The sequence below is a fragment of the Homo sapiens genome, chromosome 3 (assembly GCF_000001405.40).
Source record: "Homo sapiens chromosome 3, GRCh38.p14 Primary Assembly".
NCBI lineage: Eukaryota > Metazoa > Chordata > Mammalia > Primates > Hominidae > Homo > Homo sapiens.
Window position 1 is genome coordinate 112883107 of NC_000003.12, and position 25153 is coordinate 112908259.

Here is a 25153-nt window from a genome sequence, read left to right on the forward strand (position 1 = left end):
TATGCTTTGATGATCTGTCTAATATTGTCAGTGGGGTGTTGAAGTATCCCACTATTATTATGTGGTTATCTACATCTCTTTGTAGGTCTCTAAGAACTTGTTTTATGAATCTGGGTGCTCCAGTGTTGGGTGCATATATATTTAGAATAGTTAAGACTTCTTGTTTAATTGAACCCTTAATCATTATGTAGTGCCCTTCTTTGTCCTTTTTAATCATTGTTGGTTTAAACTCTTTTTTGTTTGAAATTAGTACAACAACTCCTATTCTTTTTTGTTTTCTGATGCCTTATAGATTTTTCTCCATTCCTTTATTTTAAGACTATAACTGTCATTGCATGTGAGATGGCTCTCTTGAAGGCAGCATAGAGTTAGGTCTTTCTTCTTTATCCAACTTGCCATTCTGTGCCTTTTAAGTGGGGCATTTAGCCCATTTTACATTCAGTATTAATATTGATATTTAAGGATTTCATCCTGCCATTGTGTTGTTAGCTGGTTGTTATGTAGACTTGATTGTGTAATTGCTTTATGGTGTCAATGGTCTATGTACTTATGTGTGTTTTTGTGGTGGTCAGTAGTGGTCTTTTGTTTCCATGTTTAGCACTCCATTAAGGAGCTCTTTTAAGGAAGGTGGTAATAACTTCCCTTAACATTTGCTTGTCTGAAAAGGATTTTATTTCTCCTCTGCTCATGAAGCTTAGTTTGGCTGGATGTGAAATTATTGGTTGGAATTTATTATGTAAACATGCTGAACATAGGCCCTCAACCTCTTCTGGCTTGTAGGGTTTATGCTGAAACGTCCGCTGTTATCCTGACATGGTTCCATTTGTAGGTGATCTGCCTCTTCTCTATAGCTGCCTTTAATATTTTTTCTTTCACATTGACCTTTGAGAATCTGATGGCTTTTTGTTCTTGGGGATGGTAATCTTGTATAGCATCTCACAGGGTTTCTCTGCATTTCCTAAGTTTGAATATTGATCTCTCTAGCAAGGCTGGGAAAAATTTCATGGACAATATCCTCAACTTTGTTTTTCAAGCTTGTTCTCTTTCCCTGTCTTTCAGGGATGCCAATGGGTCATAGATTTGGCTCTTTACATAGTCCCATATTTCTCAGAAGTTTGGTTCATTTTTTAAAATTCTTTTTTCATTAACTTTGTCTGATTGAGTTGATTCAAAGAACTGGTATTCCAGCTCAGAGATTCTTTCTTAAGCTTGGCCTATCCTGCTAGCAATACGTCCAATAGTATTATGAAGTTTTTGTAGTGAGTTTTTCAGCACTATCAGATCAGTTTGGTTCTTTCTTAAAATGGCTATTTCATCTTTCAGTTCTTGAATAATTTTACTGGATTCCTTAGATTCCTTAGACTGGGTTCAACTTTCTCCTGAATCTCAGTGATCTGCATTGCTATCCAGATTCTGAATTCTATGTCAGTCATTTCAGCTCTTTCAGTCTGGTTAAGAACCATTGCTGGGAATCTAGTGCAGTCATTTGTAGGTAAGAAGACACCCTGTCTTTTAGAGTTATTGGAGTCCTTGCAATGGCTTTTTCTCATCTGTGTGACATGATGTTTCTTTCATCTTTGAAGTTGCTGTTCTTTGGATGGGTCTTTTTCCTTTTATATTCTTTGATGCCCTTGAGGGTTTCGCTGTGGCATAAGTTGTGTTTAGTCAACTGGCTTTGTTTCTGGATGATTTCAGGGGGCCAAACGTCAGCTTAGCACTCTTGGGCTACATGCTGTAACCCTGGGGATCCCCTTCAGGCCCATGACTTTTCTCTCTGGCTCCTTGAGGTTAAGCACCTGGTGCACTAAAGGGACTGAGGTATTCTCAGTCCATTGACAGCAACACTCTTATGTGGGGTCCTGGCAAAAGTACTTAATCAGGGTGGTGGGGTCCACACTTGCATGCACATGCTGGCAGCAGCAGGGCAGCAAGGTCTGCACTCACACAGAGGCTGGTCGGGTTGGGGGCAACATGAGCTCCACGCATGCATGCACCAGCAAAGTGGTGGGGGGTGGCTGCAGGCAGGTGTGTGCTGGCAGTGGCCCTCTGCAAAAAACTCTCTGATGGCTAGGCAGGGTCTGCCAGTGAAAGAGCTATGGAGGTGGCCACTGGGAAACACCCTAGTTGGGCATCTGAGGATGCACTGCCAGTGGGTGCAGGCAGGAAAGGATCCTGGGAGAAGATGGAAGACAGCGAGGCACTCAGATCTGAATGGTCCCATCCCACAGGCAAGATAGTTCTGGTCTGTCTAGATCCAACAATCAACAAAAGCCAAAGCCAGCTAAGGGAACATGGCAAGCTTTGAGGGATGGATGTCCCTTGCTGTGTTCCACTGCAGCCATTCCCATGCCAAACCCTCTGGGCTTCACACAGGCTGGAGTGTTGGGAACAGGCCCCCATATCTGGCCATAAACAGGCCCCCAAACTGGCCATAAACAAAATCTCTGCAGCACTGTGACATGCTCATGATAGCTACGATGCCCACGCTGAAGGTTGTTGGTTTACAGGAAAGAGGGTAAGGAACACCTGGCCCACCCAGGGCGGAAAACCACTTAAGGTGTTCCTGAACCACAAACAATAGATGAGTGATCTGTGCCTTAAGGACATGTTCCTGCTGCGGATAACTAGCCAGAGTCCATCCGTTTGTTTCCCGTTTTAATCTATAATCTATGGAAACAATGCTTATCACTGGCTTGCTGTCAATAAATATGTGGGTAAAACTCTGTTCATGGCTCTCAGCTCTGAAGGCTGTCAGCCCCTTGATTCCCACTCTGCACTCTATATTTCTGTGTGTGTGTCTTTAATTCCTCTAGTGCCACTGGGTTAGGGTCTCCACGACTGAGCTGGTCTCGGCACTGGAGTCCTAGTCCCTGCCAATTCTCCAAGCAGCTCTTCCTGCCAGCTCAAATGTTCATGAGGGTCATGGGGTGTCCTGCATCTAGGATTCTGGAGGTCCATGGTGAGAGTGGGCCACTCCATAGCTACTTAACTCACCCCTTCCTTACGAACCACTTGGGCCCAGGAATGAGTCCCAGTGCTCAACAACCCTGTGTAAAGTTCCCAGCTTCCTCTCTTCTTAGCCCAGGGTCTGCATCCTCCCTCCATCCACTCTCAAAGCCTTCCTTCCAGAGATCTGCTCAAAGTGTGCTGGTCTTCTTGATGGTTTTGTCTGTCAGTAAGAGAAGCTCTTCCTGGCTGCATCTATTCAACCATCTTGGCTCCTCTCCCAAATAACTTTAATAATAAGTTAGAATTTGTTTTGCTTTGCTCCTGAGGCCTTTTTTTTTTTATCTCTCAGAATGAAAACCTGTCCTGCTAAATAACTCGTATTTATATTGTCAGATAAATCCTACTACATATTCAATTCACAGAGAGAAATAGACATTCTGGACTAGAGTGAGCTATAATGGGTTGTATTTCATCTTACCTGTAGATCTGTAGCAAAGAAGACAAGAGATAATTAAAACACAGATATAAACCCTTGTCTTTTTTTTTTAACACGTTATCGTCCGTCTTATATTTCTCTAGTTGTAAAACAAATGACAAAGTACTAGATAGTGATATTCCATCAACCAAGAGATAAAATAAGAAACTATGATTGGACATTTAAATATATAGTTAAGACTAAACATGTGAAGGAATTATTACTAAAGAACAGAATGTAGATGCTTTAAACTTTCAAGATGTGAAAATAATATATAATTAAAATCAGAAAGTGATAAGAAAGGAGGTTTGGAGAAATATAAAATCATTACGATCTCTTATCTTTCATGACATAGAGTCAACATGTACTGTGTTACAGTGAAAATATTGTATCTAAAATGTACAGTTACATTATTCTGTTAATAGTGCTCACAATCTTTTTGTTTTTTACTTAGAAGACTCTTTTAGAGGTTAGTATCTCAACTGATAAGGACATCTTTTTTTCCTATGTGTAGGGGGCAATAGTCCAAACCCATTGGAATAGACACTTATGCAGATTTTCTTTTCCTCTTTGGCTTGTTTTTTTAAGTTGACATTTTTATGGAAAGCCAGAAAATGCAGCTGAACAGAAGCTCATTTTTCAATATAGACAGTTGACCCTTGAACGTGTGGTGGTTAGGGGCACTGAAACCCTGCTCAGCTAAAAATGTATGTATAACTTTCTATTCCTCCAAAACTTTACTAATAGTCTACCACTATTAACCAGAAGCCTTACTGATAACATAAACAGTTGATTAATATATATTTTGAATTTGTATTATATGTTTTATTCTTAAAGTAAGCTAGAGAAAAGAAAATGTTATTGAGAAAGTAATAAGGGAAAGAAAATATATTCACTATTCATTAAGTGGAAGTGGATCATCATGAAGTTCTTCATTCTTGTTGTCTTTGCATTGAATAGGCTGAGGAGGAGGAAGAAAAGGAAAGATTGGTCCCGCTGTCTCAAGGCTGGCAGAGACAGGAGAAAATTCACATATAAGGGACACTATTCAAACCTGCGTTGTTCAAGTGTCAACTGTACAGTCTTTTCTTTTTAGATAAGCTTTAGGTTCACAGCAAAATAGAGTAGAAAGTAGAAAGCATTCTCATATACCCCCTCCCCACACACATGCACAGCCTCCCCCACCATCAATGTTCTCCACCAGCATGGTACATTTGCTATAATCAATGAACCTACACTGACACATGATTGTCATTCAAAGTCTATAATTTACATTTGATTTCACTCTTGGTGTTGTATATGGTGAAGACATTTTTATCTCAAGTTCAGTAATTGTTTCAGTTTCTTTCTCTAATTTAAATCAAGTAACAATAATGTAATATTTTTATTTAAAGTAACATGTTTATATAAGAGCATTTTTGTGAAATGTCTTCTATCTTTTTTTTTTTTTTTTTTTTTTGAGATGGAGTCTCGCTTTGTCACCCAGGCTGGAGTGCAGTGGCACGATCTCAGCTCATTGCAAGCTCCGCCTCCCGGGTTCACACCATTTTCCTGCCTCAGCCTCCCGAGTAGCTGGGACTACAGGTGCCCGCCACTACGACTGGCTAATTTTTTTTTGTATTTTTAGTAGAGACACCAGAAGTGCCTTCTATCTTTACTTATTTTTATATATATTCATAGAAGAGTTTTTAGCTAATCCTAACAATGGTTGTTTCTGGGTGGTGGAATTTTAACCATTTATGTTATCCTGTATTGCCTGAACTTCTTAAAATAAATATGTTTCATTTTTATCAAAATAAATTGTCATAGTTTTTTCAAAAACTTAGAAGAAAAATATATGTCTAAGGGATCACTAATAAATATTTTCACAGTAAATGTTAATTCTGATGTATAACATTTGGCATAATCATCTTAGAAAGATAGCTTGGAAACCAGTAAGAGTCTTGACAAATCCTAAAAGAATCCTAAGCATGCAAAATTGAGAGCACAGGAGTGGGATAAGTGGAATAATTTAATTGTTTCAATTGTTTACTTAAGCCAAAATTAGTAAAGTATATCCATCAAATATGACACATATTTAAAGTAGGTTAGACAAAACTTCATCTTGTACTAGTCTTTTGCAGCTGCCATAACAAAATACCAGAGACTGGGTGGATTATGTACATGGTGTTTGTCCAAAAGGCAGATAGTGAAGGGTTGGAAGGTGTGTGAGTTAATAACCAACAAAAACCAAACGTTTTGTTGTATTAATTTTTTTTTAAGTCCCCACATTACTTTATAAAATAAGACAAAAACAGAACAAAAGAAAGCATACTCTGCAGCCAAAGAATGAGGCTGAGGCTTCACCACCAGAATTTGCATGCACCTTTTTATAACTCTAAAAGCAGAGACCCACAGGCGGGAACTTTATAGCCAATTAGGGTAAACCAAAGACACAATTTATAAATTTTTATTAATCTTTTCACATATAACAACATATTGTAACTTTATAAAATGTTTAATGTTTCCCAAAGTGAAAACTAATTCAATCCTTAGTAATCCTAACATGTTTTTCTTTTTTTTTTCCATTACGTTAGTGGGGTACAGGTGGTTTTTGGTTACATGAGTAAGTTCCTTAGTGGTGATTTTTGAGATTTTGGTGCACCCATTACCCGAACAGTTTACACTGCACCATATTTGTAGTCTTTTATCCCTCTCCCACCTCCTACTCTTCCCGCCCAAGTTCCCAAAGTCCATTGTATCATTCTCATGCCTTTGCATCCTCATAGCTTAGCTCCCACAAATCAGTGAGAACATCTGAAGTTTGGTTTTCCATTCCTGAGTTACTTCACTTAGAATAATAGTCTTCAATCTCACTCAGGTCACTGCAAATGCTGTTAATTCATTCCTTTTTATGGAGTCTGCACACCAGATTAGTGCCCTCCCCCGAGTTCTGGCCAGGAGGCTTCTCACTCCATTCAAATTATTACAAAGTTCAGCTAGAGATTTCCTTCTCCCTGTGGAGTTTTACCCCCTGCTCCTCTGGCCGCCCTCCCAGTGGATCCCTGTGGTGCTAGGCAGGAATGTGCTGCTGGGGGACCCAGTGAGCTTCCAGGGCCTTTTTCATTGCTTCTCTACCCCTGTGTTTCACTTGGCTCTCTAAATTGACTCAGCTCCAGGTAAAGTCGGAAACTTCTCCAGGAAACAGACCTTCAGTTTCTCCAGTGGGGGTGTGTGTTTGGGAGAGGAGGGTCTCTCCCACTTCCACAGTTGGGGCACTCACAGTATTTGGCTTGTCTCCGGAGTCCTACAGAAGCAGTCTGCTTCCTTCAGCGTGTCTATGGGTCCTCTTGGTATTTATTGCTGGTTTGTTCTTGCAGTTGATCTGGAGCTGAAATTCACAATGCGAGCCTCTGCATACTGCTCTGTCGGGTGCTGCAATCTAGTCTTGCCTCCCATCCACCATGATGATCCCGATCCCTAACATGTGTTTCTTATCAGCTAGAACAGCAATTCTCAGATTTTTTTGGTCTAAGGATCTTTTATACTGTTCAAATGTATTGACGATTCCAAAGAATGTACTTTAGAAAAATCTAGAAAACACAGAACTACACAAGTACTCATTCCACAAACCATCAAAGCAGTAATATAAACATCTGCAATGTAGCATCTAGAAAACTCCATTGTGCACTCATGAGAGAATGTAAATGCAAAAAGCATATCACATCTTAGTATTACTATGAAAATAAAAGTAACTTTGAAGACTTCCTGCAAAAATCACCCCAATTCCAATTATTGCACCCCACCCCACTTATAACAAAGGTGCTATAATTTTGCCAAATTCTAATTTTTTCTGTGTTTTTATTCATTTTTAATTACTTAATATATAATATTTTGTATCTGCTATTTTTTTTTTATTAATCTACTAGCATATCTCCATGTTTGGATCAGATCTTTGTAAATAGTAATGTAATTTTGCATAGGGTGGCATCATTAAGAAATAATCTGTTTACATATGTTTTTAGAGAAAACTGGCAGCTCAAGCAAGCTCAGCCCCACCTGGAAGAGATGATCAAAACTTGTGGGTTTGAATGAGTTTTCATGATAATTTTTTAAATATTACACCACATATACTTGTGACCCAAATAGGGATGATATTCATGGAATTTGGATGGAGACAATTATGTAAGAGGCTGAATTAGACATCTTTTGATGCCCTTTCCCACTCTAGAATTTTGTGATTCAATATTCATTGATTACCAATTTCATTTTACTTCTTCTGGTCTGCCCTTAAAGGAACTGCTATTTAAAATAATCGAAGAGCAAAAAATAAAACTCTTGAAACCAGACACCTTCTTTATAGGAATTTTTTCACTTTTTTCCAGCTTTATTGAGTATAGTTGACAAATAAAAATTGTATATATGTAAGGTGTACAACTTGATGTTTTGATATACATTGTGAAATGAAAACCACAATCAAGCTAATTAACATATCTATTACATCACATAGTTACCTTTATTTTTAATTTCTGGTGAGAACCCTTACAATCTACTCTTTTAACAAATTTCAAGTATAAAATATAGTATTGTTAGCTATAGTCACCATATTGTACATTAGATCTCAAAATGTATTCATCCTGTCTAACTGAAACTTTGTACCATTTAACCAAGATCTTCCCATTTCCCTCTCCCTGCAGTCCCTGGCAACCACCATTCTATTCTGCTTCAATGAGAATGACTATTTTAGATTCCACATATAAATGAGATCATGTCGTATTTGCCTCTCTGAGTCTGAATTATCACCATATGATTCAGCTATGCCACTTCTGGTTATATAACCAAAAAAAATGAAATCAGTGACTCAAAGAAACGTCTGCACTCCTATGTGCACTGCAGCATTATTCAAAATAGAGAAGCTATAGAAACAACCTATATATCTCTTGATGAATGAATGGATAAAGAGATAAAGAAAATGAATGTGGTGTGTGAAATATTATTCAGCTTTGAAAAGAAGAAAATCCTGCCATTTGAGAAAATGTGGATGAACGTAGGGGATATTATGCTAAATGAAATAATCCAGACTTCATGACAATTTGGGGTGACTCTGAGTCATTATGCTACAAGGACTTCTCTGATAAAACAGAGATGTTATTGTTTAATGGGTACAGAGTTTCAGTTCAAGAAGATAAAAAAATTCTTGAGATAGATGGTAATGGTTACAAAACAATGAAGATGTACTTAATGCCACTAACTGTATGCTCAAAATTTGTTAAAATGATCAATTTTATGTTACATATGTTTATGCAATAAAATTTGTAATTACTAAACAATCAAAGAAACCAGAAAATAAAATCCATAATGCAGGGGAAAACCAATCAATCAAAACAAACCTAGAATTGACACAAATGCAAGAATTAGCAGGCAAGAACCTTGAACAATCATTGTAATATAGTCAAGACATGGAAGACGGAAAATAAGACCCAAATCAAATTTCTAAAGATGAAAACCTGCAGAAAATGAGGTGAAAAATGCACTAAATGAAATTAACATCAGATTATACATTTCAGAAGAAAACATATATAGAACTTGATAAAGTAGAAACTATCCAAAAAAAGAAACAGAAAAAAGAGAACATTAAAATGTAATCATATTTAAAAACTAACAATAAAAAGATTATCTCAGTAGATACAGAACGAGCTTTGACAAAATCTAACATCCATTCCTGTTAAAAACCCTAAAAAATTTAGACTAAAAAGAGACCTCAGCAACCCAATGAAGGGCACCTACAAACAAACCAACAAAAAACAGCTAACATCATATTAATGGTGAAAGTCTGAATGTTTTCCTCCTAAGACCAGGAGTAAGACAAGGATGTCCATTTTCGCTAGTTCTAATCACCCATATACTAGAGGTTTTAGCCAATGCAATAAGTAAGTAAAACAAATAACAGTCATCCAAATTGGAAAGGAAAAACTAAAACTGTCTTCATTCACAGAGGTTGTGATCGTCTATGTAGAGAATCTGAGAGAGTCTTCAAAAAAAATTATTAGAATCAGTTAATCCGTTCAACAAAGTTGCAGGATATAAGGTCAATATGTAAAATGCAATTGTAGTTTTATATAATGTCAAGGAAAAAATAGAAATTGAAATTTTAAGAAATGAGACCAGACACAGTGGCTCATGCCTGTAATCCTAGCACTTTGAGAGGCTGAGGTAGGAGGATCACTTGTGGTCAAGGGTTCGAGGCCAGCCAGGCCAACATGGTGAAACCCCATCTCTACAAAAAATACAAAAATTTGCCAGGCATGGTGGCGGGAGCCTGTAATCCCAGCTATTTGGGAGGCTGAGGCATGAGAATCACTTGAACCCGGGAGGCAGAGGTTGCAGTGAGCCGATATCGTGCTGCTGCACTCCAGCCTCGGTGATAGAGTGAGACTGTCTCAAAAAACAAACAAAATGATACAATGTACAATAACATCAAAGAATATGAAATATAATATTTACGGATAAATCTGACAAAAGATGTGCAAGAGCTGTACATAAAAAGGTATAAAATAATATTACAGAGAGAAATTAAAGATCTAAGTAAATGGGAGATCTACTATGCTCATGGATTAGAAAACTCAATATCGCTAAGATATCAATTCCCCTCAAATTGATATATGCTTCAAGACACTTCAGTCAAAATACAAGCAGACATTCTTGCAGACATTGACAAACTGATTCTAGGATTCATGTGGAAATGCAAAGCCAGTATAGCCTAAACTATTTTGAAAAAGTATAAAGTTGAAGGGTTAACACTATCTAATTTTAAGACATATAAAGCTACAAAATGGTGTGACATTGGCATAAAAACAAACAAATTGTTCAATAAGACAAAGCAGAAAGTCCACAAATAGACCTATAAATAGAGGTACATGTAATTTTCAACAAAGACTAAAAGGTAATTTAGTGGTGTTGGGATATCCATATTGATACTTGTATGCAAAAAACCGTTAAATCCATATTTCATACCATGTATAAAGATTACTTCAAAATGGATCGTAGACCAAAGTGTATAACCTAAAACTATAAAACTTCTATAATAAAAACATAAGATTACATTCGTGATCTTGGGTTAGGGAAACATTTCTCAGATGTTATACTAAAAGCACAGTCCAAAAAAAGGAAAACAAAAGGATAAATTGCTCTTTATCAAAATCAAAAACATCTCTTCTTCAAAGGACACTCTATCTTGAATGAAAGGAACTTGTATTCAGAATATATGAAGAATTCTCAAAAGTCAATTAAGAAATAAACTAAACAATTCTTTAATTGACAGTTAAATTTTAATTTGTATGGCAAGATGGTCCACATCATTAGTCTTTTGGGACATACACATTAAAACCACAATGAGATAGTAACATATGTTTATCAAAATGTCTAAAATTAAAAACACTGACTATATCAAGGGTTGGTAAGAATATGAAAGAGCTAGAAGTCTCATAAACTGGTGGGGAGAATGTAAAATTGTACAACCACAGAGAAAAACAGTTAGGCAATTTCTTTAAAAGTTAAACATCCACTTACCGTATGATCCAGCCAATTCGCTCATCAGGATTGACAGAAGCATATGTCAAAAAACACTTACACAAGAATGTGTATAGCATCTTTTTCTTCCTAATAAAATCAAACTGGACACAACTCAAATGTCCATTAACAGGTGAACGAATAAACAAACTGGTTTATCTATACAATTAAATACTATTTAGCAATAAATCGAATGAAGTATTCATGTGTGAATGTATCTCAAGATAATTATACTGCTGCCTTGAAGAAAAGGACCCAGTCCTAGCAAGATTCATCGCCTGCTGACTAAACAGCTCTTGGGCCCTGAATAATTCACGATGGTAGCCAGGCAGTACTTGCTGTGGGGCCTGGGTGAGACTGAGAAGCACTGGCTTCAGGTGTGACTCAGCACATTCCCAGCTGTGGTGGCTACAAGGAGAGACTCCTTCTGCTTGAGAAAAGGAGAGGAAGAGTGACGGGGATTTTGTTTTGCAGTTTAGGTACCAGCTTGGCCGAAGTAGGTTAGAGTACCAAGCAGACTCTTGGGGTCCCCATTTCCTGGCCTTGGCACTTGGACAGCATTTCTAGACCTGCCCTAGGCCAGAAGGGAAACCATCCGCTCCTGAAGGGAGAGTTCCAGGTCTGGCAGCATTCACCTCAAGCTCAATAGTATAATTTGAAGTCTGGTAATGTGATTCTTCCAGTTTTGTTCTTTTTGCTCAGGTTAGCTTTGGCTATTCTGAGTCTTTCATGGTTCCATATAAATTTCAGGATCTTTTTTTCTACGTCTGTGAAGACTGTCATTGGTATTTTGATACGGATTGCTTTGAATCTGTAGATTGCTTTAGATAGTATGAACATTTTAATAATATTAATTATTCTAATCTATGAACACGGAATAGCTTTTCATTTTTTTGTATTCTCGTTCCATTTCTTTCATCAGTGTTTTAAAATTTTCATCATAGAGACCTTTCACTTCTTTGGATAAATTAATTCCTACAAATTTTATCTATAGTGATTGTATATGGAATAACAGTTTCTGTTATTTCTTTTTTCAGTTTGTTGATTTCTTTTTCAGTTGTTCACTGTTGGTGTATAGTGCAGTGGTACTAGCATAAAAACAGACACATAAACCAATGGAACCAAATAGAGACCCAGAAACAAAACCATACATCTGCAGTGAACTCATTTTCTACGAAGTTGCCAAGAACTCGCAATGAGGAAAGGATTGTCTCTTCAAAATAAATGGTGCTGGGAAAACTGGATGTCTATATGTAGAAGAATGAAACTAGATCCTTTTTTCTTGAGTGCCTCTTTGAGTGGTATGAAGTTAAAACCAGGTACTGTGATCACTCATTTGATTTTTGATTCTTATGAAGATGCTTTTTTGTGTGAATATTTGTTCCATTTGGTGTTCCTGCAGAGAGGATGATTAGTAAAGGCTTCTATTGGGCCATCTTGCTCCCAAATAATATAATTTTTATTTTAATCTTCTGTCATACTAGCTAACTGGTTAATTAAAAAGGAAAAACTGGAACTATGGAAGTGGGAATTGCACAAATATTAAAATAAGTGTACAGAGAAAGGCACATTCAAGCAATGCTGGAGGGAATGTAAACTGACACAATTTGACATATCTAAGATAATACACAAATGTATTTTTGTGCCTTTATTATCATAGATATGATAGTATCTGTGATATTATCATAGACATCATGATAATGTCATAATATTATCAAACCTGGCAATTCCTCTCAAGAAAATTATCCTAAAAATATACTTAAACAAATACAAAGAGACATGTCCACAAGAAACATTCTATGTGGTATTTTTTATACCACAAACAAAACTTACTGTAAATGTCCATCACTAGGGTTGTGTTAATTAAATTATGACACAAACATACAATAGAATTTTAAGTAGCCACTAAAAAGAATGATGTAGCACTGCTGTGTTGATACAAAAAGATCTATTATGTTATTAGGTATAAAATTAGGTATGAAATATATATATTTTTAATATCTTATCATAAGATGAAAATGTCTATTATATTATTAGCTTTTTATAAGGACTGAACAGCATTACAGGATGCTCCCATTGGTACCATGGCATATACATCATGGATAGATAGGTAGATAGATAGACAGATAGATAGACATATAAATGCACACATATACCATAGGCATATAGACATGTCAATATAAATATAATTTTTCTGTAAAGAAACATAAGAAACTGTTGATTGTTCCTTCTGCAGAGTTATTTCTTGAGGAAATTCTTTACCTTATATATTGTACTGCACAATTTAAGTACTTGATCATGAGCATGTATTTTCTTTGTTTTAATAATATCAGTTCTTCAGAGAACTAGCTGGTAGTGGCTAAGAATCCAAAATTTCAATTATGCAAGAATCTGAATGAAAATCCATTAGGATGTTTTTGGCTTCTAAGCACCTTTAAAAAACTAAATTCAATATGAGTCTTTCATTCTATAAATGTAAGAAAATCAAAGTAATAATTGTAATGTATCCTGATTCATTTCTCCTGGTGTTAGATTACAATAACTTATACAATATGGAGGTCTGTGCTATCAACTTCACTTTATAACGCCTGAGACATCTTCACCTTGTTTCTAGTATCATAGTGTACTGTTCTTCTCTGTGTAGCTGGTGTAGGGTTGCATTTCATCCTAAGAAAAAAAATCAAAGTCAAAATCAGTTCAAAAAGGGCAGAAATCATTATGGAAACTACCTGTTTTTTATAATAGGTGTCCACAGCTTTTGGTATCAACCAAGAGTGCTTATATTTGTGTTTCTGGGCTCACGTGAATATAAGAGCAAGGCTTTGTTCTAATATTTGTTAATTACTTAAGTCTCTGTGAGAGATGATGGTTGCATGAAAGTAGGAATAGAGATGAATGAAGTGGTATGAGAAGTATTCCAAAGGAGAGAGCCAAAGACATAGTAAGCTACTGGCATAAGAGATTCCAGGGCAGGATATGTTTTAAGCTAGGGTAAGAGGAAAACGATGATGGTATTGAAAAATAGAAGTCAAGGTTCAGAGATGCTTTCCTGTAAATGGAAATGCCAATTCAGTTTCTCCAAAGATTACAGTTCAAAAGAGATAAACATCACGTGTATTAGGACATGGTTCATGAAATGAAAATGTGGATCTGGGTGGTCTATACATAGTACTTGATAGGTAATTAACAAAATAATTGCATCTATTTGCATTGTAAATCAGAACTGTTTGTTTTTCAACTAAAACACTAATATTGCTACACATTACAAATTATGTTACTATATTTTCACACTATTGACTTAAAAGTTTGTAAATATTCTTTTTAATCTTATCTTACCTCCTCAACAACTAGAGTAGCTTCTGTTTTATTCAATTTATATTTTCTATAAAAATAAAATAAGCTGGAGTTGCTGGGTGCTGTGGCTCATGCCTGTAATGCCAGCACTCTGGGAGGCCAAGGCGGGCAGATTGCCTTAGCTCAGGAGTTTGTGACCAGCCTGGGCAACACGGTGAAACCCAGTCTTACTAAAATACAAAAAATTAGCCGGGCATGGTGGCATGTGCCTGTAGTCCCAGCCACTCGGGAGGCTGAGGCAGGCGAATTGCTTGAACCCAAGAGGTGTAGGTTGCAGTGACCTGAGATGACACCACTGCACTCCAGCCTGGGTGACAGAGCGAGACTCCGTCTCAAAAAAGAGAGAGGAAAAAAAAAAAGCTGGAGTAAGTGGAGGTAATATTATTTAGATTGAAAATTGAAAGAAGTGTACTATTGACAATTGTGGTTCATTTTGATAGAAGCCATAATAAATCAGAAAGAAACTACCAGAAATGAGTGAAGGATACTGCTTGTAGCTACTACACTCATAGAAGAAAAGTCTAGATTTTGAAAAAAGAAGTGAAATTATGCAATAGGAGCTTGATGCAATTGAACATATGTAACACCTCCTCTTTGGTACAAGAAAAGAATTGTAATTATCTATCCAAATTAAAAAATCAGCATGCACTATCTCTCCCAAGATCCTGCCCTAAATGGCCTAATTCGCCATGCTTGCATGCCAAAGCAACCTAGGAAAATCACTCACATCTGTCAAGGTAGTTCAAATCCAACATCTTCAGGATATTCTGTGATTATGAGAGATTTGATGTTAGAATTCTAATTGGTCAGTCAATTCCATATTTCTGGCCCTTTTCTAGTGCAATAAAGCTAAAGAAGAAAAAACATTCATCAATCAATACCTGCAGCCACTGATTTTCAAAACCCAAAGCAATCCCACAATGATCAAAATAAAACTCATAAAAATAATAGAGTGAATACATAGTTTTACTGATGTTTTGGTACCTGTAATTATAAACAAAAATATATGTTTCAAATGTGGTGTATTCCAACAATGAAATATTATTTGGTGCTAAAATAAAATGTCTGAACTATCAAGCTGTGAAAGGACATGAAGGAAACTTAAATGCATACTACTAAGTGAAAGAAGCCAATCTGAAGAGGCTACATACTGTGTGATGCCAACATATGATGTTATGAAAAAGGCAAAACTAAGGAGACAGTAAAAAGATCAGTGGTTGCCAACTGAGAAAGAGGGAGGGAAGGATGAATAGAGCATAGAGGATTTTTAGGGCAGTGATTCTATTCTGTGGGATACTATCATGGCACATGCATGTCATTATACACGTGTGAAAACTCATAGAATGTCTAACACCAGAGTGAATCCTGAAGTAAATTATGGCCTTTGGCTGACGATGATGTGTCAATGAAGGTTCATCAATAGTAACTAATTTAACACTGTGTTGCAGGATACGCAAGTGGGAGAGGTTGTACTTGGGTACAGGCAGGGATTATGTGGAAACTTTCTGTGCTTTGCACTTAATTTTGCCATGAACCTAAAACTGCTTTAAAACATAAAATCTATTAAAAATTAAAAGTTTTATATATATATATGTATATACATAAAATTCATTTCTATAATTTTACTTTAAACAATTCTGACCCATTAATAGTTTGAGAATTCTTAAAATAAAATTGCTTTATCCAGAAACTCTAAAGCTTTATCCAGACTTGAGAGTTTTCAGCAAGACATTACATTACTTCAAGATTTCATTGCTTTAAGCATTCATGAGCGGTGAATTCCTATACAAGAGATGTGAAACTTAGATCTCTCTATTACAGCAGAGTGTTTCTGACCTCCAACACTCACAAGTATATGAGTAATTATAAGGAAAGTTGTTGGAAAAGTAATCCTAATTCCAAAATAACCTTTCTTCCAAGGCACTGAAACTAAAATGAATGCATAGCAGCATCCTTATTTATTAGCTGCTGGAGCAATATAAAGCTCTATCTGATAACTGTGCAAATCAGCAAAGTAATTTCCAGCTGTAAGGGGAAACAGTTTACAAATGTGCTCCTGGTCTTGCATACGTATGGCTCAGGGGAAGCAGAAGGAGGTACTATAGAGACTGAGCAGACTAGCATCTGGTCCTTACACTATCCTCCCACAGTTGATGTTTTTAAATATTGGATTTCTCCATATGTTTGCTTGAAAAATAAAAATTTGTGTTTTTTCTTTAAAAAAATTTTTTTCAAAACTCTCCCTGTCAAACTAATGAGCTCTCTTGCACTGGACCTGTACTGGCAGAGGCTGAAGGTTCACTGTGCAAGGAAGACACAGAGGAGATCCCTGCACTAATGGGAATTTGGATGAGAAGATCCACTCAGTTCTAGATGCTATAAATAAGACATATTTTAATACCAGATGGTGAGATTTCATACATAATCAAGCACAATTATTATTTTTAGTAAATACTGCTTAACTCTTTTTTTCAAAAGACAATATCACTTTAAGAATGGATATTGAAAAATCTGTTGGAAACGGTGGTTTCAAAATATGAGATTTTCTCTTCTTTCTTAAAACTTACTAAAATGTTAGTAAAGCAATGTTTTAAAGTATAAGCCTGCAAAGATAAAGAGAATAGAGATGAAGACGAGAACAGATGAAAGACTTTTCAACTTCTTTGGGGTGAAAAATGAACTGTAGAATGGCAAATGATTTATAAACTAGAATAAGTAAAAATCTTAGTACCCACAAAACTCCAGGAAGACTCTAGAGTGGGAAGTATCCATAGAAAAAGGAGTATGTGGAGGGCTGAAGTGTAGGCGTAAAAGTTGGGAGCTTCCTTGAAAGTCTGTCTTGAAAACAGATAGTTTGCCAAGTCTCCCGCTCCACTCTGTGCAGCACAGCTTCCCCAGCCAGCAGAAAAAAATTATTGGCAGATTGGTCTAGGAAACATTTCTGGAGAGATGCTAGAGTCAAGGATTCAGACATCATGCAGGGTGGGAATAAAGTGCTACACTGAAGAGAGGTACTAAAGGAAACTCTCAGTTCTCAACAGCGGCACACTTACACACATACACACACTCCTCTTTCCCTTCCCAGAACACTGGTGATCAGGCTTATCTCTCCAAGGCAAGAGACTGGTGAGTTATTTGCTGCAGACTCTAAACATTCCCAGAGAACGGGCCTTTAGATACATGACAAATTCCCAATTATAAAAAATCACTTAGCTCCTTTTCACTATATTGAAGCTAACTAGTTGAAAACCTTCATCATCAGCAAGTAGAGCTTCTAATAAGTCCACTAGTGCTCACTTTAAAATGAATCCATACAACAACAGGAGTGTTAATATGCCTTCTGTTACTGGGTAAAGGGTGGAAGGGATCTGAACTCTTTATTCACTCACAGTGTTTTCTGTGATAGCTATTTCTCACTGTGTGTGCACTTTCTGTTCTTCGTGTCTTCACATCACATGCTGTTGCATCTTAAAGCATTTTCATAGTATGTGGTTTAAGGCAGTTTCATGGTAAAATATAAAATAAAATAAAATAAAATAAATTCATACCCAGGAATTACCAAAGAGTTAATAAAACTCTTACATATCCAAGAAAGAGACTAAAATAAACAAATGTCTGGAAAGCAGATGAAAGTCAGATTAAACAAGCACAGAATCAAGCAAAGGATAAAGGCAAAGAGAATGTCCATGACAATACTGTGTAGCAAGTATAGTGACCAACCAGGACAGATTAGACAAAAGCATGAAAAAGTGCAAGAAGTGATGTCTTAAGAAAATGGAACTCATAGATTATATAACAAATCTGACCATGTGAAAAATAATACTAAGGGGTTCTCCATTAACAAGTGGGTAAGGGACATGAACAGACATGTCTCAAAAGATATACATGCAGCCAACAAATACATGAAAAAAAAAAGCTCAACATCACTGATCACTAGAGAAAAGCAAATCAAAACCACAATGAGATACCATCTCATGCCAGTCAGAATAGCTATTATTAAAAAATAAAAAAGTAACAGAATCTGGTGAGGTTGCAGAGAAAAGGGAATGCTTATACACTGTTGATGAGATTGTAAATTAGTTCAATCATTACAGAAAGCAGTGTGGTGATTCATCAAAAAGCTAAAAACAGAATTACCATTCAAAGCAGCAATCCCATTACTGGGTATATACCAAGAGAAATATAAATTATTCTATTATAAAGATACATACATGCGTATGTTCATTGCAGCACTATTCACAACAGCAAAGACATGGAATCAACCCAAATGCCCATCAGTGATAGACTGGATAAAGAAAATGTGGTACATACACACCATGGGATACTATGCAGCCATAAAAAGGAACAAGAACATGTCATTTGCAGGGACATGGATGGAGCTGGAAATCATTATCCTCAGCAAACTAATCCAGGTACAGAAAACCATGCACCACATATTTTTACTTGTAAGTGGGAGCTTGTATGTAAATGATGAAAACACATGGACACATTGTGGGGAACAAAGTGCACTGGGGCCTGTCGGGGGTGGTAGTGGGATAGGGAGAGCATCAGGAAGAATAGCTAATGGATACTGGGTTTAATTCCTAGGTGATGTGTTGATCTGTGCAGCAAACCACCATGGCACATGTTTACTTATGTAACAAACCTGCACATCCTGCACATGTGGTACTTTTAAGTACCCCAGAACTTAAAAGTTGAAGAAAAAAATAGTAAGGGGTTCTCTAGTTTTGTCAATGAGCTTAGTGATAATTCACAATAGGTACATTCGTTTTTAAGGAAAAAAGAAATAAAGCAATTATAAAATCAAAAACTAAAAGATTATTCAAAAAAGAAAGTATGAATTTATTTATTGATTCAGTACTTAATAATACTTATAAGTATCAAGTAAAATGTATTTCAAATATTTATTTATTCAAAATAATGGGGAGACAGACTGTCTTGTGTAATGAAAAATTTCTGTGTCATAGCACATGAAGGATGAGGGAAGGAAAGAAGGATGAGGGAAGGAAAGAAGATAATGTAGAATCCTCATCCACCATAAAAGGAAGTAGGACCCAGTGGCGTGGGTTCGCGAGTGGAATCTTCTGATCTGTGGGTTGCACAGTTCCATGGAAAAAGCACGGTTTCCCCAGCTGGGTAGCATGCTCACTCACTGCCTCCCTTGGCTCGGGGGTGAGGGCTTCCCTCCCCCATGTGGCTCTCGGGTGGGCCGACAAACCACACAGCATGCTCTTCCTTCCTATCTGTAGATCACGCCAGCCTCCTAGTCAGTTCTGATGAGAGAACCTGGATATCTTGGTTGCCAGTGAAGGATTCACATGCTTATTACTGTTTTTTTTGATGGGAGGCTCAGATCATCGCTGTTTCTAGTCGACCATCTTCCCTTTGTTTTCTTATCTAGAAAACTCTACCTGAAGGGATGGACTAAATCAGTGGTTCTCAGAATTGTTCCAGATCAGCAGCATCTACACCAATCTCGTTCCTTTTTATGGCTGCATGGTATTCCATGGCATATATGTACCACATTTTCTTTATGTGGTCTATCATTGATGGACATTGGGGTTGATTCCATGTCTTTGCTATTGTGAATAGCGCTGCAATGAACATATGTGTGTATGTATCTTCATAATGGAATGATTTATATTCCTTTGAGTATATACCCAGTAAGGGGATTGCTGGGTCAGATGGTATTTCAGTTCTAAATCTTTGAGGAATAGCCACACTGTCTTCCACAATGGCTGAATTAATTTACACTCCCACCAACAGTGTAAAAGTGTTCCTATTTCTCTGCAACCTCATCAGCATCTTTTGTTTCTGGACTTTTTAATAATCACCATTCTGACTGGCATGAGATGGTATCTCATTGCAATTTTGATAAGCATTTTTTTAATGATCAGTGATGTTGAGCTTTTTTTCATATGTTTGTTGGCTACATGTATGCCTTCTTTGAGAAGCATCTGTTCATTTCCTTTGCCCACTTTTTAACGAGATTGTTTGCTTTTTCTTGTAAGTTTGCTCAAGTTCTTTGTAGATTCTGGATATTAGAACTTTGTCAAATGGATAGATCGCAAAACTTTTCTCTCATTCTGTAGGTTTTCTGATTGCTCTGATGATAGTTTCTTTTGCTGTGCGGAAGCTCTTTAGTATAATTATATCCCATTTGTCAATTTTGGCTCTTGTTGCAATTGCTTTGGGCAATTTCATCACAAAAGTTTGCCCATGCCTATGTCCTGAATGGTATTGCCTAGATTTTCTTCTAGGGTTCTTATAGTTTTGGGGGTTACATTTAAGTCTTTAATCTATCTTGAGTTAATTTTTGTATATGGTTAGCCAGTACTTCCAGCCCCATTTGCTAAATACAGAATCCTTTCCCCATTGCTTGTTTTTGTCAGGTTTGTTGAAGATCAGATGGTTGTAGATGTGTGGTTTTATCTCTGAGTTCTCTATTTTGTTCCATTGGTCTCTGTGCCTGTTTTTGTACCAGTACCATGTTGTTTTGGTTACTGTAGCTTTGTAGTATAGTTTCAAGTTGGGTAGCATGATGCTACCAGCTTTATTCTTTTTGTTTAGGATTGTCCTGGCTATATGAGCTTTTTTTAGGTTCCATATGAATTTTAAAATAGTCTTTTCTAATTCTTGAAGAATGTCAATGGTAGTTTAATGGGAATGGCATTGAATGTATAAATTGCTTTGGGGCAGTATGGCCATTTTCACAATGTTGATTCTTTCTATCCATGAGCATGGACTGTTTTTCCATCTACTTGTGCCCTCTCTGATTTCCTTGAGCAGTTCTCCTTGAAGAGGCCCTTCACTTCCTTGTTAGCTATATTCCTAGGTATTTTATTATTTTTGTGGCAATTGTGAATGGGAGTTCATTCATAATTTGATTCTCTGCTTGTCTGTTGTTGGTGTGTAGGAATGTTTATGACTCCTGCACATTGATTTTGTATATTTAAATTTTGCTGAAGTTCCTTATAAGTTTAAGAAGCTCTTGGGCTGAGTCAATGGGGTTTTCTAGATATAGGATCATGTCATCTGCAAACAAAGATAATTTGACTTCCTCTCTTACTATTTGAATACGCTTTATTTTTCTCTCTTGCCTGATTGCTCTGGCCAGAACTTCCAATATTATGTTGAATAAGAGTGGTGAGAGAGGGCACCCTTGTCTTGTGCCAGTTAAGGGGAACGCTTCCACCTTTTGCCCATTCAGTATGTTATTGGCTATGGGTTTGTCGTAAATGGCTCTTATTATTTTGAGGTATGTTCCTTCAATACCTAGTTTATTGAGAGTTTTTGACATAAAGAGATGTTGAATTTTATTGAAGGTCTTTTCTGCATCTTTTGAGATAATCATGTGGTTTTTGTCTTTAGTTCTGTTTAGGTGATGAATTACATTTATTGATTTGCATATGTTGAACCAGCCTCGCATCCTGGGAATGAAGCCAACGTCCTTTTTTCAGTGGTGCAGTGGAGCGAATTCAGTGGAGCGAATTCTTAATTCGCTCTAAGAATTATCACAAAGTCACAAGACTCTCTTTTCAAATAACAAGACTTCCTTAAAGTCTTGCTATTTCAAGTGTGCTTGGCAGATCATCAGTAGCAGCAACAGCATCACGTGGAAGCTTGTTAGAAATGCAGAACACTAGGCCCCCACCCAATGACTATTCTAAACTTCTTAGCCACGAAAACAAGAAAGAGAAGGATAAAATTGAGCATTTTATTTTTTTCTTTTTAAAATTTTTTATTTTCGTAGGTTTCTGAAAAAACAGGTGGTATTTGTTTACATGAGTAAGTTCTTTGGTGGTGACTTGTGGGATTTCAGTGCACCCATCACCTGAACAGTATACACTGAACCCAATTTGTAGTCTTTTATTCCTCACCCCCCTTCCCACACTTTCTCCCAAGTCCCCAAAGTCCATTGTATCATTCTTATGCCTTTGCATCCTGATAAATTAGCTCCCACTTATGAGTGAGAATATACGATGTTTGTTTTCCAATCCTGAGTTACTTCATTGAGGATAATAGTCTCCAGTTTCATCCAGATTACTGCAAATGCCATTAATTCATTCCTTTTTATGGCTGAGTAGTATTCCATGGTGTGTGTGTATATATATGTCACAGTTTCCTTATCCAATCATTGATTGATGTGCGTTTAGACTGGTTCCATATTTTTGCAATTGCAGTGTGAAGATTCCTTAAAGAACTAAAAGTAGAACTATGATTTGATCCAGGAATCTCACTACTGTGTATCTACCCAGAAAAAAGAAGTCATTCTTCGAAAAATTATTCTTACATGATATATGTACAACTAGCTTGTATAATTTTCCCTGTAGTTTACCATTTTCTATGTACTAACATCCCTAAACAAATTTTTAAAAATCAATTAAATATATATTGAGCAGCCACTTTGTTCAAGGACAGCTTTGCCATAAGGTACATAATAAAAGAACAGTTATAAGTCAATCAATGATTGAGTAAAATTTTAATTTTTCAGTATCAATTGCTTTATAGGAATGAGCATATATACACAGCTAATTTAAGCCCACTATGCATGAAACTAAACTAAAAAAGTATGAAAAGTGGAGCAAATTTAATGATGTTTATATATCACCAAGAGTTGATTCAGTGAAAAAACAAAATAGCAACAATTGTTTGGTATCTAAAACCTGAAATTTTGTCTATGTAAATAGTATATAGAGACAATCTATCTCTCTAAAATAATAGAAATATTGCCAAAGTACCACTATACTAGCTGTTGGTGTGTGGGAAATTCTTTTGGTTACTTGTTTCTGTGTTTAATTTTTTAAATATTAATTATTTCTATTATACATCAACTATTTATCATTACCTTATTTTTGTATCAACATGGTACCTTTTTTAAGGAACAAGGTCTCACTATGTCATCTAGGCTTTAGTGGAGTGGCACAATCATAGCTCATGTAACCTTCAACTCCTGGTTTCAAGCAATCCTCTCACCTCAGCCTCCCAAGTAACTAGGCTACAGGTATGGTAGCCATTATGCTCAGCTAATTCTTTTATTTTTATTTTTTTATTTTAATTCTTTTATTTTTATTTTTTATAAAGATGGGGTCTTGTTATGTTGCCCAGGCTGGTCTCAAACACCTGGCCTCAAGCAATCCATTGGTCCTGGCCTTCCAAAATGTTGAGATTACAGATGTGAGCCAATGTACCCAGCCCAATATGATACATCTTAATTAACACAATGTTATCTATCCTTTCTCCTTTCTTTGCTTCCTGTACTAGATGCAGACAAGTTCAGAGATGAAGGCAGGTATTCAAGTGGAGGATTTTAAAAGAAATTCACTATAAAATTCTGGGAGTTACAGGTACAAGAATTAGTAAGCTAATCATGGTCTTGTTTTTACTCTGACAGCTTTGCTACAGTCACTGCGTTCTCCACAAATGGAACTATGTACAGAATTTATGACAACTAAAGTGAATTTCCTGAGAAATGTAATTTTGGAGAAATTGAAGGATTTATGAAGAGATGATACTAACAGAGGCATAGCAATGTTGCATTTGAACTGATATAACAAGCTGATTATGAAGAGGCATAGTGGAAGAAAATGATATTCAGGGGAATAATAAAAAGTCATCTGTGACCAACTAAGTTGGTCTGAGTTCCACTTTAAATTTATTTCCAGAAATCTTTACTCTCCTGCTCCAATCCTGACTGGTTGCTTCCTATTTCCATTTTATGATTTCTTATTCTGGCACTTTCTTTTGATATTTACCTGGGAAATCTCCTCAGCTGTCTTCTCTATTGAAGCCCATGTTTCCAGAATCCTAGCTTCTTTACTGGTTTTCTCCTTATTTGAGAGTTTACATGCCTGAAATTTTCTTTGAATCTGTAGCATATTCGCAAGGGTCATTCAGTTTCTGCCTTGAAAGTTGCTCAAAATCTTGTCCCAAGAGGTATGTGTGCCTATCTGGGGTATTTGGGGACCTGGACAGGGAATGAGGGCTGGCAGGGATTGGGGGTGTATTTCTCTGGTAAATATATAGATTCCACTTAATCCACCTATTTTCAGCCCCATATCTCCTCTTGAATCTTTCTGTTCCCATTGTCTGTAAGACTAAATTCTTTGTGATTCATGTTCTATAGGGAATAAATCTAAAATCTGAGAATTTGGAAGGGAATGTTGAGACTTTTCAGGGTCTAACCACCTCTTACACAGAATTTCAAACAATTCTCTTAATTCCAGACCTGGGCTTTGCACTCACTTTCTGCAAAACCCAATTCTTGAGCCTTTGCAGCTTGGTTCTGTTTCCTCCTGAAGAAACACGTTCAGCTTCCTCTATTCTCCTGGGTGATCAAGCTTTCCATCCTCCAAAATACGTTAATGTTTCCTAACCCCCTGTGTCTTCTCTCCTGACATTTTGATTCCTTTAGGCCTATATGTTTTAAATATTATTATTGTCATATTAATAGCCATTCAGGAGAGAATAGACACGATACATCTATTCAATTCACCATGTCAAACTAGAAATCTCCATTTTTATTTAAAATCCTGTGGCATTTTTTTATTTTTTTATTAAGAAATGTTTTTTCAAAGATAATTTTGGCAGAAATATAAGTAATTAAGACATTATCTTTCTTTTTTAAAACATAGTGATTAAAATAAAGTAGCATTTTCACTCTTTGAGCTATTTTAAACTGAGCATTTTAAAGGACTAGTGGAAAAGCTCTAGTGGAAAAATATTCTAATGTATTTTTCTAATTATGGTTTCCTCTCTACTTCGCCCAATACCCCTCAGCATCCCCGCAACTTGGCCAACAGACTCACCAGCTATGAAAAAAAATGT

At 36.5% G+C, this 25153-nt stretch overlaps 1 pseudogene, besides 3 other annotated features; it reads right to left on the reverse strand.

Annotated features, from left to right (window-relative positions):
• Positions 1481-2071: an enhancer, noted in NCBI's record as "H3K27ac-H3K4me1 hESC enhancer chr3:112603434-112604024 (GRCh37/hg19 assembly coordinates)". NCBI's record gives its function as "activates a minimal SCP1, AML or CMV promoter by ChIP-STARR-seq in primed H9 embryonic stem cells {active_cell/tissue: H9 hESC(primed)}" and the evidence as "EXISTENCE:reporter gene assay evidence [ECO:0000049][PMID:30033119]".
• Positions 2072-2662: an enhancer, noted in NCBI's record as "H3K27ac-H3K4me1 hESC enhancer chr3:112604025-112604615 (GRCh37/hg19 assembly coordinates)". NCBI's record gives its function as "activates a minimal SCP1, AML or CMV promoter by ChIP-STARR-seq in primed H9 embryonic stem cells {active_cell/tissue: H9 hESC(primed)}" and the evidence as "EXISTENCE:reporter gene assay evidence [ECO:0000049][PMID:30033119]".
• Positions 10888-12087: an enhancer, noted in NCBI's record as "MED14-independent group 3 enhancer chr3:112612841-112614040 (GRCh37/hg19 assembly coordinates)". NCBI's record gives its function as "activates an origin of replication core promoter dependent on BRD2, BRD4, P300/CBP and CDK7 cofactors, and independent of MED14, by STARR-seq in HCT116 cells {active_cell/tissue: HCT116}" and the evidence as "EXISTENCE:reporter gene assay evidence [ECO:0000049][PMID:35650434]".
• CD200R1P1 (CD200R1 pseudogene 1) lies at positions 13525-14356 on the reverse strand (annotated as a pseudogene).